This window comes from Homo sapiens, chromosome 3, assembly GCF_000001405.40.
Source record: "Homo sapiens chromosome 3, GRCh38.p14 Primary Assembly".
NCBI classification, from domain to species: domain Eukaryota; kingdom Metazoa; phylum Chordata; class Mammalia; order Primates; family Hominidae; genus Homo; species Homo sapiens.
Window position 1 is genome coordinate 47,865,416 of NC_000003.12, and position 16,987 is coordinate 47,882,402.

The window sequence follows — 16,987 nt, forward strand, 5'->3', positions numbered from 1 at the left end:
AGTCTGGTCAAGCAATTCCACCCGAGTGTAAAGGATGCCATTTCTACCCAGGCCAGGAAGAGGCAGTGGTGAGAAGATGACCAGGAAGGAGGGGCAGGAAGGAGTTGTGTGGGGCAAGAATGAAAGCTCATGGCCGCATTCCTCATGATACAACTGCTGGGGGTATCTGTAGGCCATGGGCAGGATGTCATGATCACCAAGGAGGAGGCAGGAGTGTTAACAGAGTCTAAAAATGATAAGGGTAAGTGGAGCAGGACCTAGTCCGGTTCAGGACAGTAAGGAGAAAGAACCGAATGAACTCAAAAGAAACGGAGGCAAGACAGGCTGTCTCACTTGGCCTGGAAGGGAGCGGTGAGGGCAGGGGCTGTACATGGCGGCTTCTGGTGCCTCTGGCACAACTCCACAGAGTACCACTTTTCTAGGCACTGTCACAGTGACAAGCGGAAAGCACACAGGGTGTTCTTCACACACTCGACGATAGTAAGACTTCGCCCTGTCTCTCCCTAGACCAGAACCTCCCTGTGAGCTGGGATCACCTGTGTCCCTAATACACATCATAGAGCTGGCACACAATGGCAGCAAGACAAAAAGAAGGATGTTTGGGTGGAAGAGGAAAGAGGACAAAAAGATAAGGAGGGAAAGTCTGGGCGCAGTGGCTCACACCTGTAATCCCAGCACTTTGGGAGGCCAAGGCGGGCAGATCACAAGGTCAGGAGTTCAAGGCCAGCCTGGCCAGCATGATGAAACCCCGTCTCTACTAAAAATACAAAAATTAGCTGGGCGTGGTGGCGCATGCCTGTAGCCCCAGCTACTTGGGAGGCTGAGGCAGGAGAATTGACTGACCCTGGTAGGTGGAGGTTGCAGTGAGCTGAGATCACACCACTGCACGCCAGCCTGGGCAACAGAGTGAACTCTGTATCAAAACAAAAACAAAACAAACAAACAAACAAACAAACAAACAAAAAAACAGGAAAAGGGACTAAAAAAGGAGGGGAAGAAAAAGGAGGAAGGGATTAGAAAATGGACAAAAAAAAGGAGAGCAGAAAGGGAAATGGGAGGGCCGGGCGCAGTGTTTCATGCCTGTAATCCCAGCACTTTGGCAGGCCAAAGTGGGTGGATCATGAGGTCAGGAGTTCAAGACCAGCCTGGCCAACATAGTGAAATCCCGTCTCTACTAAAAATACAAAAATTAGCCGGGCATGGTGGCGAGTACCTGCAGTCCCGGCTACTCGGGAGGCTGAGGCAGGAGAATAGCTTGAACCTGGGAGGTGGTGGTTGCAGTGAGCTGAGATCACACCACTGCACTCTAGCTTGGGCAACAAAGTGAGACTTCATCTCAAAAAAACGTGGGGAAGGGATAGGAAGAAAATGTTGATTAATTCTTATTTTATAATAACAAGGATTCAAAGATGAGCTCTGGAAAGATCCATCCAGACATCTGTCTCAGAGAAGTTACTTCCACGGTAATTCAAGGGCATGCAGACCGACATACACATCCCAGGAACGGACTCCAGACAGGCAACAGGTCTGCTGCTGACCACTGTGCTCAGACCCAGGCTCTGACATAGCTGGAGAAAAATCCAAAGCCTCCCACCCATATGGGTAAAAAGATACTGAGTGGATATCACCATGCTGGTGTTTAGGGGCTCACCAGAAACACCCTGTCTAACATGGGAGCATCAAGGTCCCCTCACTTTGCTAGTCTGCTTCTTACAGAACGCTACAGCTCAGGTCACTGGGATTCTATCTACATGGGCACCTGGCTCTCTCCCTAGTATACCCCACAGTGGGCTATATCTCAGATGCCAGCTAACCAGAGCTTATACTTACATTACCACCTCCAGGGACATGCTTAATATTGTCCTTGGAACCACACTTGGACTGAATATGGCTGTAGCTCACTTTTTTGGAGACTATCTGGACCTGGAGTGTTAGAAAATAGAAAAAACAACACAAAGGGAGAGGACTGGTTAGAACCGACACAGGGAAGGCAGTGAGTCCACACGTGATCACAATGACCAACAAAAAGTGTTGTTAAACCTCCACCCCCACCTTCTACAGAACAGATGTGGAAAAGCACAGGAAAAGAAATGTGAAAGAGCAAGAAGGGGAGTGAAAAACGTGAACAGACAACACAACGACAGGAGCAGAGCTGCGCAGGCACTGCATGTTGGTCATCACCGCTCCTTTGGGGGCGGGGTTGTGGTTCACAAGGCCCAGGCAGCAGCCTAACCTGATGCCCAACCAGGCACAGCCCTACCTCCTTGCTCTGCTCCCTCCTCAAGAGCTGGGCACAGTGTCCTTGGCTCTTCTCTGCAAGTCTTATCATGTGGACCTGTTCTCACCCAAAGAGGGTGCTTCCCTTAAATCTGGGCCCTGGAATGGCTGCAGCCAGACCCACTCTCAGAAGCAAAGGCTGCTCTGAGAAGCACTGGGCAGCTGGCAACAAGGGCACGGATGATACTAACAGGAAGGAGGGGCCAGTGCTCAGATGTGCATACAAATGGATACAGAATCTCCAACACCAGGGGAGCGGCTACAGCCTCCACACTTAGCCCATTTGTCTCAGGGCTCGAGAAGGCATAGTATTTTTGACTCAAGGGTAAAATACCTTCTTGAATCCTCCATATGCCTAATCCTCTGCCCTGTGAGATGCCCATGCGGAAAGAACAGGCTCTAAGCAGGGCAGCAAGGACGCCCAATCCTGGGGGCACAACCACACTGTATAGTACGGGAATGGCTTCCCCTGGAACTGAGAAACACCAAGGCCCTGGCTCTAAGAGTCTGGAACAAAGAATCCTAGGACCTTCTCAAGAAGGAATAGTTGCCAACTTCCTTTCTTTGCAAATGATGCAGGTCCCAGGCTGAAGAGTTCTCCACAGAGTACAGAAATCCTGAGAAACTCCAACCCATATACCTCATTGTACCTACTCATTTCTAGCCTTTTTCACAACTTTGATGGTAACCAAGTGGTTAGCAAACTACTTAATGAGCCTTGGTCTGAACCTAGGACCTCTAGTAGTCACCCAGAAGCCACGGTGCAGCTTTCTTCACTGTAGGAATGCCCTAGGCTGAGACTTCCCATGCTGGTCCCTAAGGGCTGGAGTGCGGGCTTCTCTGGCAGAGGCACACCTACCTGCTACAGCTAAGGAAGGTAGGTGTTGCAAGCACTCAGGAGGGGCCTGGTTTCCAGGTTTACAGAGGCAAGGGGAAAGAACCTGTGGTTTCAGCTTACCTCTGCCCTCCAGTTGATGCTGCATACCTATACTAAGTGGGTTTCCATTGGGAATGAGCATCCTAACTTTCAGTTAAGAGGTGACCCGGGGAACCAGGACAAATGAAGTTATCTCCATACCCAGCAGCGTTATGAGAGGGATCTTCTACTTCAAGGTAAAGCACAGGGGCTCCAGGGTTCCAGGTGGTGGAAATTACCCCTGCCATGTCTTCTTGATAACGAATGTGGGTGCACTGTATTTGCATCCATACCAGGTAGGTTTCACATCAAGGTCAGTGTGAAGGAAATGAATGAAAGTCTTTGGATCCATTTTATCCAGCCAAAAATTATACACATATGTATTCTCCAAAGGGCTAATGGGCTCCCAACTCTATTAACTTTCAAGGTTAATACAAAAAATTTTCTGATGGCCGAGTCATCAAGCACAGAGAAGGGAATATAGGGGAGAAGAAGTAGAAACTAGTTAGGGAAAGGGAAAAAGTGCAAGAGAGGGCATGTGGCTCAGGCTGGAAGAAGTATTTTACCATCTTCACCTTGCAGAGGTGGGTCTAAATAAAACTCACTTTCCCCGCAGGTTGTTTCTGTGCACTTGCAATTGGGCCGGCTGTTTTAGTGACTGCATTAGATTCAGGCTTTCGGGTTGTAGCAGCTGCCTCTGTTTTTTTCTCTACTTTGGCCTGGATGGAGATAAAGGGAGGGCAAATTTCAAACCAAGAGGATAAGAGCTCAAAAGCCAAGAAGGGAAGAAGGCTGTAGGGGACTCAAATCCAGGTCAGGCCACCAGGCAAAAGCAGGTGGCCTTTGATCCTAGGCAAAACCATACATTTCCCAGGGTAGACCAAGTCAAAGATCCTTGAGTAGAGGACCACAAAAGAAGGAGCTGCAGGCCATAGTCTTAAGACATGAGGAACAGATCAAGACACTAGCTAATGAAGAAAAGGCACAAAGGAAGGCTAAGACAACCAAATTAGTGATTCTGAGAGTGTGCTGGGGCATGATTTTCCAATTACAATACCCCCCACCCCATGCCAAATGTCCTGATATGCCCCAAGCAGCTGCCACGGTCACAGGAAGTCAATACTGATAGAAAGTGTCAGACTCTTTAGGTATGTTGAAGCAGAAAACAATTCACTAGATCAAGTCACTCAACTCCCCACCCAAGAACTCCTGTAACTTTTGCACCATGAAACCATAAGAGCAAAGACGGGGAGATAGGCCATCAGCAGCACAGCCCAGAGGCCTGCTGGGCACACCAGAGCCACTGTCGCTACCACAAGCAACTCTCAGGCTCTTCTCTAGACTGATCTCAGCTTGCCATCAGTGTCTTCCAACAGCACCAGGATTCCACCTCATTTTTGTCCCTCCTGAATTTCTTAACAGCTCCAGATTAAGCAATTTAAGTATGCTGCCCTGGATGGTGGTGGTGGTGTAGAGCTAGTGAATGACCTAGGAGATGAGATGGTCACTACTCCAGGGACCCGAACATTCTCAGACGGACTTTCATCACCACCTTTTCACGCAGAGTTCCCATGGTTACCAACAGTTAAATAATTCTGGGACTGATGCAACCAGAAAATCTTAACCACCGGAAAATCCTAAAAGTGAAGCACTGTGATCTTTCTCCATCACTATATGCAGTGCAGTCCTGCTGTTTAGGAAGGCCAGAGGCTCACAGCACGACTCATCCTGGCCATAAGAGGACACCCTAGTCCTCTTTCAGATATATTCCACTCAAGTCATGGGTTGTGGAAGTAAGAGGTGTTCTACCTTCTGCCTATCCTGACATTCTCTGTGCAGGCTAAGAACCATGAAAAACTAGGCTCATGTCAAGTGTCTCTCTCACTTGCAGAGTCTCTGAGGCCTCCTCTGTTTCTTCTACAAAAGAATCCTTTTACATCCAAGCAAAAATGTAAACTCAGACCCCAACATCTAGAACAGGAGCCTTTCTTACTGAGACAGGAAGAGAAAGCCCAGAGCTCAGCCTACCCCGCCTCCCTGCTGCTGGGGCACAAAACCCACTACAGAGCCCCGGCTGAAATACCCTGATGCTGAGTCCAGTGTCCTGACTGCCTGCTTCTTTGGTGGGCCTGGGAACAGTGGGTGGAAATGGAGGGGAAGATGCAGGGGCCAGCATGCCAGGACCCCAAGCTCCCTGGACCCACCCGGCCTCCTCCAGGCTGATGCTTGATGTTTTCCGTGGAGCCAACCTTGGAGCGGACATTCTTCAGATCAGGAGCAGAAGTATTGGTGGCCAGGCGGCTGAGCCGGGGGGTGGTGGAGCTGGGTTTGGCCGAGGTGGGCTTCTTGTCTATGAAAGGAGTTGTGGAGGGCCGGGAGGGCATGGGTGTGGCCTTGACTCGGCTGGGAACCACCCCTGCAGCGGGGGCTGTCCCACTGAGAGTGGTGGTTTTCTTCATGGAACTGGTGGAGGTGCTCTTTGGGCGACTCAAGTCAGCTGCAAAGAAGGGAGTGAGAGATAACACGGGTTCAGGGAGAGAGAGAAAAAGGGAGACTTAAGCCACAGAGGAGGTGGGGGTTCAAGTTAGGGCTCTACAAAATGGCGGATGGGCTATTACCTGGTACAGACTTTGCAGTCATCTTCTTGACTTCTGCAGGTTTTCCCTCAGTCTTAATGGCTGTACAAAATATACTTATTAATATAACATTTAACAAACTGACCTGTTGGATAGTTCATCCAATAGTGAGATTCCTCATTATTTAACAATTACTGAATATCTACTTTGAGCCAGGGACTGTGTTAGTCCCTGGGAATGGAGTGGTAAATTAGATGGTCAGGCACTGAGTCTTATTCTTCTCTACTGCCCTGATAAGCCTTCTATGTGGCCTTAAAAGTAGGCTGTCAATACATGCCTATGGACTTGAATAGCCCTCTTCTTATCATCATGTAAGCCCATGAGCACCACGCCCTCTTCTTATCATCATGTAAGCCCATGAGCACCACGTGCTAGGTGCTGTGGGTTACTAAGGCAAGAGTAAATTCTACCTGGAAATTCATGAGCAGTACATTTTTCTGCCTTCACTCAAGATTTTTCTGAATACATACAACTGCTAAGCTCACACAGAGATCAAGGCTTGTTAAGTACCAGGCCCACAGGGCTACCACTGTTCCAGGTAGTCCACTAAGGACCGGTGCGTAAGCAGGCCTGCACAGCTGTTTGTGATACTAGCTAGAGCTATGGCTGGGGCAAAGCCAAGATCCCATTTTCCCCTCCCTAGTTCCCATGGGAGAGAAAGGCAATACTCACCAGTGGGCTTCTTGGGCAGGAGCGTGGAGGGGCTCCTACTGCTTGGGCCAGTTGAGGCAACAGCAGCAGCTGTTGTGGTTTTTGCAACAGTCTGAGTGCTCTTGGACCCAGATCTGGAGGCTGGGGCAGAAGCTGGCTTGGATGGTGAGGCCCGCTTCTCAGGAGCCTTTGCATCTGCAATGGGCTGGAAATAGGAAAGTGGGAATGAGGCCTGCAGGTCAGCAATAGCCCCAAGGAGTCACGCTACAAGATGCTTCTTTTTTTGTTTGTTTTGTTTTGTTTTTGGAGACGAAGTCTCACTCTGTTGCCCAGGCTGGAGTGCAGTGGCATGATCTCGGCTCACTGCAGCCTCCGCCTCCCAGGTTCAAGCAATTCTCCTGACTCAGCCTCCAGAGTAGCTGGGACTACAGGCACGTGCCACCACGCCCAGCTAATTTTTTGTATTTTTAGTAGAGACAGGGTTTCACCGTGTTAGCCAGGATGATCTCGATCTCCTGACCTCATGATCCGCCTGCCTCAGCCTCCCAAAGTGCTGGGATTACAGGCATGAGCCACTGCACCTGGACACAAGATGTGTCTATACAACCATGTATTGGAGAACAGGAGGTACTGTGGGTTCAGCAGCTACTGACAGGAAAATACATATGGTTCTAAGAGCAAAGTCCTCCACATAAAGCAACAAACTGGCCATGCAGGGTGCTATGTGATCTGAGGGCACACAACAGAGAGTAAAACTACTTCAATCCAACTTGAGCCAGTGAGAATGAACAGCCCTGATGGGTACATCACCACAACCTACGTTTGCCTCCAAATCTACTGCTATATATATCATACACACACACACACGCATATATTTTAATGTAACCTCTGTAGAAATGCCAAAAATACTAATGTATTTAATGTAATAAAATCTAATGTATTATACTTGACCAAAGATTAAACATACACAAACAAAAACTAAAAATTATGTTCAAATCGAGCCATTCTTTTGGCTAACACGCACCTAGAGAATGCTGAACAGGACTGAGCTGCAGATGGAGAGGCCACTGGCCAAATCTGGGACAGAAGCGTGAGCTGTAGCCCTACTCCAGCAAATCACTGAGCCTCTGAGCTTTATTTCCTCATCGGGATAAAGAGATTAGAATGGAGGGTGATGAAGGACCAGCTTTGATAATATGTGATGTCAGGAAATAAAGGATGAAAGGTCTCAGCACAGAGACGATGAGAAGAGGCAGGCCTGATCAACAGAAGGGATAAAAAGCACTGATATCACAGCTACAGTCTGAAAGCAAAAGGGAAAAAGTCTCTCAAGTATAGATGCTTGGCATCTGGGTCACTCTAGTTCCTTTTACATGGAGGCTGAGAATGACGTCTCTAGTGAATAAGGGAAAGAATCAGTTTAGCCTGGTTTCTACGGGGATAGGGGATGAAGACACTATTTTGATAAACAAATTACCACATTACAAAAGAGAGTATGCCAAATCACAGACACAGTGGGCTCAGCTCTCTTCCTCCAAGAGAAGTGGCTATAAAGAGGGCAGTATGTAGGTAGCGACAAGCAGGATATCGTTAAATGGAAAAATCAGCTAAGGAGGTACTAGAAATTAAGGGCTGGCATCCAAAGTCTAACTCTGCAAATGTAGGGTAATGACAATTTCCACAAATAAAGGCCTTAAGTATGGTGTGAAGAACGCTAAGGCTGGAATCAGGGAAAGTGGTTCTGCTACCAGCTCTGCTGGAAACATGTAGGATTTTGGCCAGAGGATTCCCTTTTCTATTGCTCTAAAATTTGAGGACTAAACCAGATGCTCTCTGGGATGTGCATCAAATTTTTAAGACTATGACTATTATTCAGAATAATCTAGCATAGTCTTATTATTTTGCCATGAGGGTAATAATGATAAAATAAGTTAGAAAAAAGTTATGTGGGATAGAAATCTCAAAAGGATGTTGCATCTTTTAGATGTCAGGCTCTTGGCTTCAAAAACCTGCAGAAGTTAACTGGAGCTATTCTGCTGTTTCCCAATTTACATTTTCTTCTCTGCCAGAATCGTAATCTACTTATTTTTTCTGAATAGGTTTTTCTCTCTCTGTCTCTACAAATCTTTCTACCAAAATAAGCTGCAGATGAAGAGGCCACTGGCCAAATCTGGGTCAGAAGCCTGAGCTGCAGTCCTGGTTTGGCCCCTTAATTCTAAGTGTGCTATTTGGCAAATCGCTGGGCCTCTCTGAGCTTTATTTCCTCATCTGGATAAAAGAGATTAGAACAGGACTGGCGCGGTGGCTCATGCCTGTAATCCCAGCACTTTGGGAGGCCGAGGCAGGCGGATCACCTGAGGTCAGGAGTTCGAGACCAGCCTGGCCAATGTGGTGAATCCCCAGCTCTACTAAAAATACAAAAAATTAGCCAGGCGTGGTGGCGGGTGCCTGTAATCCCAGCTACTCGGGAGGCTGAGGCACAAGAGATGCTTGAACCTGGGAGGTGGAGGTTGCAATGAGCCCAGATTGTGCCACTGCACTCCAGCCTGGGTGACAGAGCGAGGCTCCATCTCAAAAAAATAAAAATTAAAAAAAAGTTCATGTATATACAGCAACTAGTACACTACACTTCATTTATATGATTATTATAGAGTGAAATTTCACTAGACACCTCTCCTTCCTACTCTCCTCTGTCACCCCCCAGAAGCCGCTGCTGAATAAGCAACAGGGAGGACCTGCTGCCAGGGCTCCAGGCACCTCCCCTCTGCCCTCTTATTCAAACCTATTGTTTTCTAAAGATCAAGAAAAGCAACCAACTGGATAAATGAGGATCAGAGAGAAAGCTTTACAAGATTTTATCATTACTAGTTTATGAGAGGATTTTTCAGTTTCTTGGCCAGGGCTTCAGCCTAGACTTCAACTCCTAGGTTCCACAGTTTTCTTCACCATATTAAATTAAAAACTGACATTTTAACATGGGAAACTATTTCGTACCATGAATTTAAAGAGTACTATCAGGCTGACCTAAAGGCCCTTCTCAAATAACACAAGATGTTAAGGAATGCAGCCACAGCCTCCACTATCCTCTCCTCCTGGAGCAATTCTGTAACACTAATGCTGCTCCAAATGTGACCAGTTTCTGGGCAATACAGAAACCGTGGGTGACCTGGAAAACTGGATGACTTCAGAAGTAGCTCAGTGAGAGGTGGCCTAATGCCCAAAGCAAAGTAAGTTATCACATCATGCTGGAACATGCTGAGATAAGCTGGAAGAACTAGTTATATCACAATAGTAATGGATAAAACTTCTGCAGGATGATAACAGGGAAAGACAAAGAATTACATTTGATGTGGGAATTATACCAAAAAAGAATATCTAACTGGTATGTGGAGTAGAGGAAACTGGTTAATAAGTGCTTAAATAGGTAAAGAGTAGGTAGCTGAGAGAAAGGAGGAAGAACCTAAGTAGATAGAGTATTACCTCCAAACAGGGAAGGGAAAGGTAAGAGCATAAAAGGGCTTCAAAATGTTAATGTCTGCATCAATGGGCCCCAAATTGATTTCCTTTTCTTTTTTCTTTTTTTGGCTGCTCCTCGTGGAGCAGGGCTAACCCATAGGCAGCGCGTCCAGAGTAGCCATGCCAATTTTCAAATCACCCTCTCCCCCATTTCCCTTGCCTTTTCCCAATTCCACCAGCCTGATTCTGTTGTCTGTTAGCAACAAGGATCTGTCTATCTGACACTCAGAGGGGAACAATTTTCCTCGGCACAGTAGTTAGGTGACCACTTACCTTTGGCTTCACGTCTTTTGAAGGTAAGATGGAAGGCCTGGCAGAGGCGACGGCAGGGCGTTTGGGTGGGGCAGCTGGCACTAAGCCTGAAGCAAGGCTCATGGGTTTTTTATTCAACCCACCAATGGTGGTGGGAGCTGGCTGCTTAGGGAGAGAAGTGGGCTGTGTTTTGGCTTTCGATGTTGAAGTCTTTGCAGGTTGAGTGGTGGCCAAAGGCTTTAGGTTGATTGTTGTTTATTTTTTATTTTTATTTTTTAAAGGGCAACATCAAACAGACAAGAATAAAAACAAATTAAAAAAAGTATAAATTGCACAATTCAAAGTAAAATTATAAGCAATGAGGATAGATGCAACTTAAAATTAGCATTTCTTTCTTCTGAGCTCAATAAATAATGGAATGAAACCAGGATAGAGAAAGAAAATGGGGAATAGTTTCTTTTTCTTTTTCTTTCTTTTTTTTTTTTTTTGAGATGGAGTCTCTCTCTGTCGCCCAGGCTGGAGTGCAGTGGCGATCTCGGCTCACTGCAAGCTCTGCCTCCCAGGTTCAAGCGATTCTCCTGCCTCAGCCTCCCAAGTAGCTGGGACTACCAGCGTGTGCCACCACACCCAGCTAATTTTTTGTATTTTTAATAAAGACGGGGTTTCACCGTTTTAGCCAGGATGGCCTCGATCTCCTGACCTTGTGATCTGCCCGCCTCGGCCTCCCAAGGTGCTGGGATTACAGGCGTGAGCCACCGCGCCTGGCCTGGGAATAGTTTCTTAATGATAGTGGCACAAATTCTGGCAGTTTGGCACCTGAAGATTTAATTCAGTAAAACAATTAACTCTTAATAATTAACTAACTTTTGGTGGCTATTCTAAAAGAAAAGCATCAGGAGGTGATTCAGCCATTATTACCTGTATTTTTTTTAATAACTTTTTAATTTTTTGAAGACCCTGGACAACATGCTGAAACTACCTGTATCTTGATGGGACAATAGCAGCCACAGCCTACAGTGTGGCTTTTGAACTTTGCAATAAGTACTAGTTATGCATCTGAAGCTATATGATCCACCTTCAAAATCTGCATTCTCTTTTCATGAATGGATATTTCAGAATCTTTTTTTTTCTTTCATCTAACGCTGAGATAATAGTAAATAATTCAGAATTTATTTCAGAATATTTTTGCAATTGTCCTTTTTGTTGTTGTTAAGGGAAGTTGAAACAATCTCTACAGAACTTTTTTTTTTTTTTTTGAGATGGAGCCCAGTGCAGTGGCATGATCTCGGCTCACCGCAACCTCCAACTCCTTGGTTCAAGCAATCCTCCTGCCTCAGCCTCCTGAGTAGCTGGGATTACAGGCATGCATCACCACGCCCAGTTAATTTTAGTATTTTTAGTAGAGATGGGATTTCACCATGTTGGTCAGGATGGTCTCCATCTCCTGATGTGATCCGCCCGCCTTGGCCTCCCAAAGTGCTGAGATTACAGGCATGAGCCACCATGCCCGGCCTCTACAGAACATTTTTTACAGATATATAAGATAATAGGGTCAAAGGCTGAGATTTTAAAGTTGGTTTAGGCCACTGTGGTAAATGAGAATACAAGATATTTTCTAAGCATGTCCAAACATGAGGAAGGACAATAACAGCTCAGAAAAAAGAAATTTCATTCGTGATTCAAGCAATAACAGCAGAAGATACTCCGTTTAAAAATTATGGCAGTAGAAGATAACCACCATTCTGGCACCTACCTTTGTTTTCTTCTCTGGGCTTGGTGGGAGCTCCTTGTTCGGTGGGGTGGTGATGTCATTTCCTGTCCCACTCACCACAGGCCTTCCTTCTTCTGGCCTGGCTATTCCTAAGGGGAGAGGGTGAGTGGGAATTATGCTAAGCAAACATTTTACATGCCCATTTTGAAAATACAAGGTTTAGCAAAGACAGACCACTAACTAGCACTTCATTCTGAAAAAAGTCCACAGGGTTGTGCTGCTGAAATGTGGACAAGCCTCCCAAGTTCTCATTGTGATGGAGGACAGTTTTAGATTCCTCAGATTCAGAGAGCCTGACCCTGTGGAGAAGCAGTCTAAGGGACACATGCACAAATGATCAGTGGAAAAAAATGGTCCTTTAAGTTTGGTTTCCCTTCCCTAGAGACCAAAGGGACTCTGTCTTCCAACCACTAGCTCTCCAAGCAATAGGACAAAAACCTCTTCTACCAGTCTATCTTTGGAATAAAGGTTGCTGTGAGATGGGATAAGAGCCAGAAGATCATTCAATGACTCCCTTTCCTTCCTTTCCCTATAAAGAACCACTTTATGGAGGATGTGAGATTAACCTGATCCAGTTCTAACAGTGACCCAGATTTTCAACAAGGCCAAGGAGACCCATGGAACCAGACTCAGGGCCAGAAATAAAGTCTCCTGCCTAAGGCAACATAGCCTCCTCTCTGTGGAGAGGTTACTCTGGATTTCAATAGGACTATACCTGAGAGCATTAAAATACTGTGAAATGTATAACCTTGCTGTGGGGGAAGGCATTTCTAACTGGCACAAAGTCAAGAGGCCACAAGAGATAAGTTTGACTAAAGAAAAATAAAAAACTTCAATGTGGCAAAAAACAAAATAAGACAAAACACTATAATAAAAGTCAAAAGGCAAATGACAAACAGAAAAAATACTTGACCCTCATACCAAAGACAAAGAGCTTATTCTATAAATTACTCCCACAAATCAGTAACTGCTACAAAGGCCAATAATCCACTGGGAAAATGCAAAACAATATGAACAGACTTTATAGAAAAGAGATACAAAGTTTTTTGAAACTATGAAAAGATGTACAATGTTAAGTATAAGAAAAATAAAAAAACCCCACTGAAATGCCATTTTATTTTTTGAGACAAAGTCTTGATCTGTCACCCAGGCTGGAGTGCAATGCTGCGATCTCGGCTCACTGCAACCTCTGTCTCCCCATTCAAACAATTCTCCTGCCTCAGCCTCCCAAGTAGCTAGATTACAAGCATGCACCACCACACCCAGCTAATTTCTGTATTTTTAGTAGAGACAGGGTTTCACCATGTTGGCCAGGCTGGTCTCAAACTCCTGACTTCAAGTGATCCACCCACCTCAGCCTCCCAAAGTGCTGGGATTACAGGCATGAACCACCATGCCTGGCCTGAAATGCCATTAATATTAACATATTGTCAAAAGTCCTAAAATTTTAAAATAACTACTGAGAATAATATAGGGAAATATACTTGGTAGGTATGTGAACTGTATGACCCATAGGCAGGGCTGCCTGGCAGTGTCATTTTCTGAAAATTACAAGGACAGATAAATTCTAATCTAGAAAACCAATTTCTAGTAATTTATCCTAGAAGTGTATTTACACACCAGCCAAATAGTAAATGTGCAAGGTTTCCACCAGATCATTGTTTCTAAAAGCAAAAGAACAACCCAGAAGTCCGTTAATAGAAAACTGGTTATTATGGTAGAAATATCAATGTAATCTCTGAATGTGAAAAAATAAAGCATGGAGAAATTCTTTTATGATTACTATGCAATGGTCTCTATTAAGTGAAAAAAAAAACAACAAAGCATAAGTATAATGTGAAACTATTTGTCTTGAAAAGGGATGAGGGAAAAGATATTGCAAATACACTTATATATGCATTTTAAAAGAATTTTTGAAAGGATTGTAATTAAACAGAACAACGTTTTTGAGGGAAAGGATGGGACACAAAACTGGGGAGGTTAGGAGGCTTAAAACTTTGAGAAATAATTACAGATTCATAGGAAGTTGCAAAGAAATACATAGGGAAGGTCCCTGTGTACCCTTTTACCCAGTCTCCCCAAGTGTTGATATCCTACGTAAATACAGTATACTATCAAAACCAAGAAACAGAGACAACCCACAGAGCCTACTCAGATTTTTCACTTTACATGCACTCATTTGTGTGTGTGTGTGTTTGTGTGTGTAGTGCTATGCAACTTTATCAAGTGTAGCTTTGTGTAACCACCACCACCACCTTAGCCTCCCAAAGTGCTGGGATTACAGATTACCTGGCCTGGAGTGGCTGGTTACAATCAATAGGGCTTCTTCATGTTACCCCTCTATAGCCATATCTACCCCATCCCCTTTCCAATCCCTAAATATATGGCAACTACTATGTTCTCCATCTCTATAGTAACTTCCAGTACACTATATTTAAAAGAGTGGTGCAAGTAGATATCCTTGCCTTGTTCCCAATCTTAGATAGAAAGTATTCACTTATTCACCATTAAATATGATGTTAGCTGTAGGCTTTCTGTAGACGCTCTTTGTCAAGTTAAATAAGTTCCTCTCTATTCCTACTTTGCTGAGAGTTTTAACATGAATGGCTATTTGATTCTGTTAAACGATTTTTCTGTGTTTACAATTTATTTTCTTCAGACTATAACAGATTACTTTTTTTTTTTGAGATGGAGTCTCACTTTGTCGCCCAGGCTGGAGTGCAGTGGTGTGATCTCAGCTCACTGCAAGCTCCGCCTCCTGCCATTCTCCTGCCTCAGCCTCCCAAGTAGCTGGGACTACAGTACCCGCCACCACACCTGGCTAATTTTTTTTTTTTTTTTTTTTTTGCATTTTTAGTAGAGATGGGGTTTCACCATGTTAGCCAGGATGGTCTCCATCTCCTGACCTCGTGATCCACCTGCCTCGGCCTCCCAAAATGTTGGGATTACAGGTGTGAGCCACCACACCTGGCTGACAATTACTTTTGATTATTGCACTAACCTTGTATACCTGAAATAATTCCAATTTCAGTTTTTTTTTTTTTTTTTTTTTTAAGAGATGAAGTCTGTTGCCTAGGCTGCAGTACAGTGGCATGATCACAGCTCACTGCCACCTGGAACTCCTGGGCTCAAGAGACCCTAATGCCTCAGCCTTCCAAGTAGCTGGGACTACTGGTACGTGCCACCATACCTGAATAATTTACAAAAAAAATTTTTTTGAAGAGATGGAGGTCTTGCCATGTGGCCCAAACTGACCGGTCTCAAGCAGTCCTCCCACATCAGCTTCCCAAAGTGCTGGGATTATAGGCACAAACCACCATGCCCCATCATAATTTCAATCTTTTAAATTGATTCAAGTTGGTTTTATGACCCAAGATCCATCTTGGTGAGTGTTTAATGGACACCTGAGAAGAATGTACATTCTGTCACTGAGTGGAATTTCTATCAATGTTTATGAGATTTTGTTGTTTGATGGCACTGTTACATCTTTACTAACATTCTGTCTAGTAGTTCTATCAACTGTTCATAGTGGGTTACAGAAGTCCCCAGCTGTAATTGTGACTTTGTGTACTTCTCCTTTTAGCTCTGTCAGTTTTTGTTTCATATATCTTGATGCTCTGTTTTTTGGTGTGTATACATTTAGAATTGCTAAGTTTTCTAAATGTAAGGATCAATCTTAGTGGGATTGATCCTTTATTCTTTTCTCCGACATCTACTTTGTCTGATGTTAGTATAGTCACTCCAGGACACGTAATCTTTAATCCCAGCACTTTGGGAGGCTGAGGCAGAGGATCACTTGAGGCCAGCAGTTTGAGACTAGCCTGGGCAACAAAGTGAGACTTCCTCTCTACAAAAATCGAAAGAAAATTAGTGGGGCATGGTGGTGTATGCCTATAAGACTCAGATACTTGGGAGGCTGAGGTGGGAAGATTGCTTGAGCCCAGCGAGTCAAGCCTGCTGTGAGCTATGATCAGGCCACTGCACTCCAGCCTGGGCAACAAGAAAAAACAACTATATATATATATATATATATATATATATATATATATATATATATATATATGCATAATCATTATATATAGCTACTGCTACTTTAAAAAATTGTTAACATGATATATTTCTTTCCATCTTTTAACTTTCAACCTACCTATGTCCTTATGTTTGTTATGCATTTCTTGTAGATAGCATATACTTGGGCAATTTTTTTTTCTTTTTAAGACAGGTGTGATCATGGCTGACTGTACTCACTGTAGCTTCTACCTCCTCGGTTCAAGTGATCCTCCTACCTCAGCTCCTGAATAGCTAGGACCACAGGCATGTGCCACCATGCCTGGCTAATTTTTAAATTATTTGTAGAGATGGGGTCTCCCTGGGTTGCTCAGGCTGGTCTCGAACTCCTAGGCTCAAGTGATCCTTCTGCCTCAGCCTCCTAAAGGGATTACAAGCAGGAGCCGCTGTACCTGGCCTACTTGAGTCATTTTTTAAAAATAATATACTCTTCCAATCTTTGTCTTTTAATTGTAGTACTCAGACCATTTGCTTCTAAAATAATTCCTGATGGCCAGGTACAGTGGCTCACGCCTGTAATCCATTCAGCACTTTGGGAGGCCGAGGTGGGCTTATCACCTGAAGTCAGGAGTTGGAGATCAGCCTGGCCAACAGGGTGAAACCCCATCTCTACTAAAAATACATAAATTAGCCGGGCGTTGTGGTGGGCGCCTGTAATCCCAGCTACTTGGGAGGCTGAGGCAGGAGAATCGCTTGAACCTGGGAAGTGAAGGTTGCAGTGATCTGAGATTGTACCACTGCACTCCAGCCTGGGTGACAAGAGTGAAACTCCATCTCAGTAAATAAAAAAATAAATGAAATAAAGTAAAATAATTACTGCTATGTTAAGGCTTAAGTCTGATATTTTATTTTTTATTTGTTCTCTCTTTTTCTCATTTCTGTTTCACTTTCCTGCCTTCC

General features: G+C 44.7%; 1 protein-coding gene across 163 annotated transcripts in view, besides 1 other annotated feature; it reads right to left on the reverse strand.

Annotated features, from left to right (window-relative positions):
- Nucleotides 1–16,987, reverse strand: part of MAP4 (microtubule associated protein 4) — a 238,154-nt gene that overhangs the window by 14,721 nt on the left and 206,446 nt on the right. For 49 of the 163 annotated variants that reach the window (NM_001384867.1, NM_001384839.1, NM_001384680.1 and 46 more), the window contains 7 exons: nt 12,002–12,108; nt 10,270–10,485; nt 6,502–6,685; nt 5,812–5,871; nt 5,398–5,690; nt 3,799–3,912; nt 1,831–1,923 (listed from right to left, as the gene is read on the reverse strand). In NM_001384867.1, coding sequence (NP_001371796.1) covers nt 1,831–1,923; nt 3,799–3,912; nt 5,398–5,690; nt 5,812–5,871; nt 6,502–6,685; nt 10,270–10,485; nt 12,002–12,108 — 1,067 coding nt within the window. The remainder of the gene's footprint in view (nt 1–1,830; nt 1,924–3,798; nt 3,913–5,397; nt 5,691–5,811; nt 5,872–6,501; nt 6,686–10,269; nt 10,486–12,001; nt 12,109–16,987) is intronic. The other 114 variants (NM_001384848.1, NM_001384757.1, NM_001384783.1 and 111 more) reach the window with 22 other exon arrangements.
- Nucleotides 5,526–6,026: an enhancer, noted in NCBI's record as "H3K4me1 hESC enhancer chr3:47912431-47912931 (GRCh37/hg19 assembly coordinates)". NCBI's record gives its function as "activates a minimal SCP1, AML or CMV promoter by ChIP-STARR-seq in naive H9 embryonic stem cells {active_cell/tissue: H9 hESC(naive)}" and the evidence as "EXISTENCE:reporter gene assay evidence [ECO:0000049][PMID:30033119]".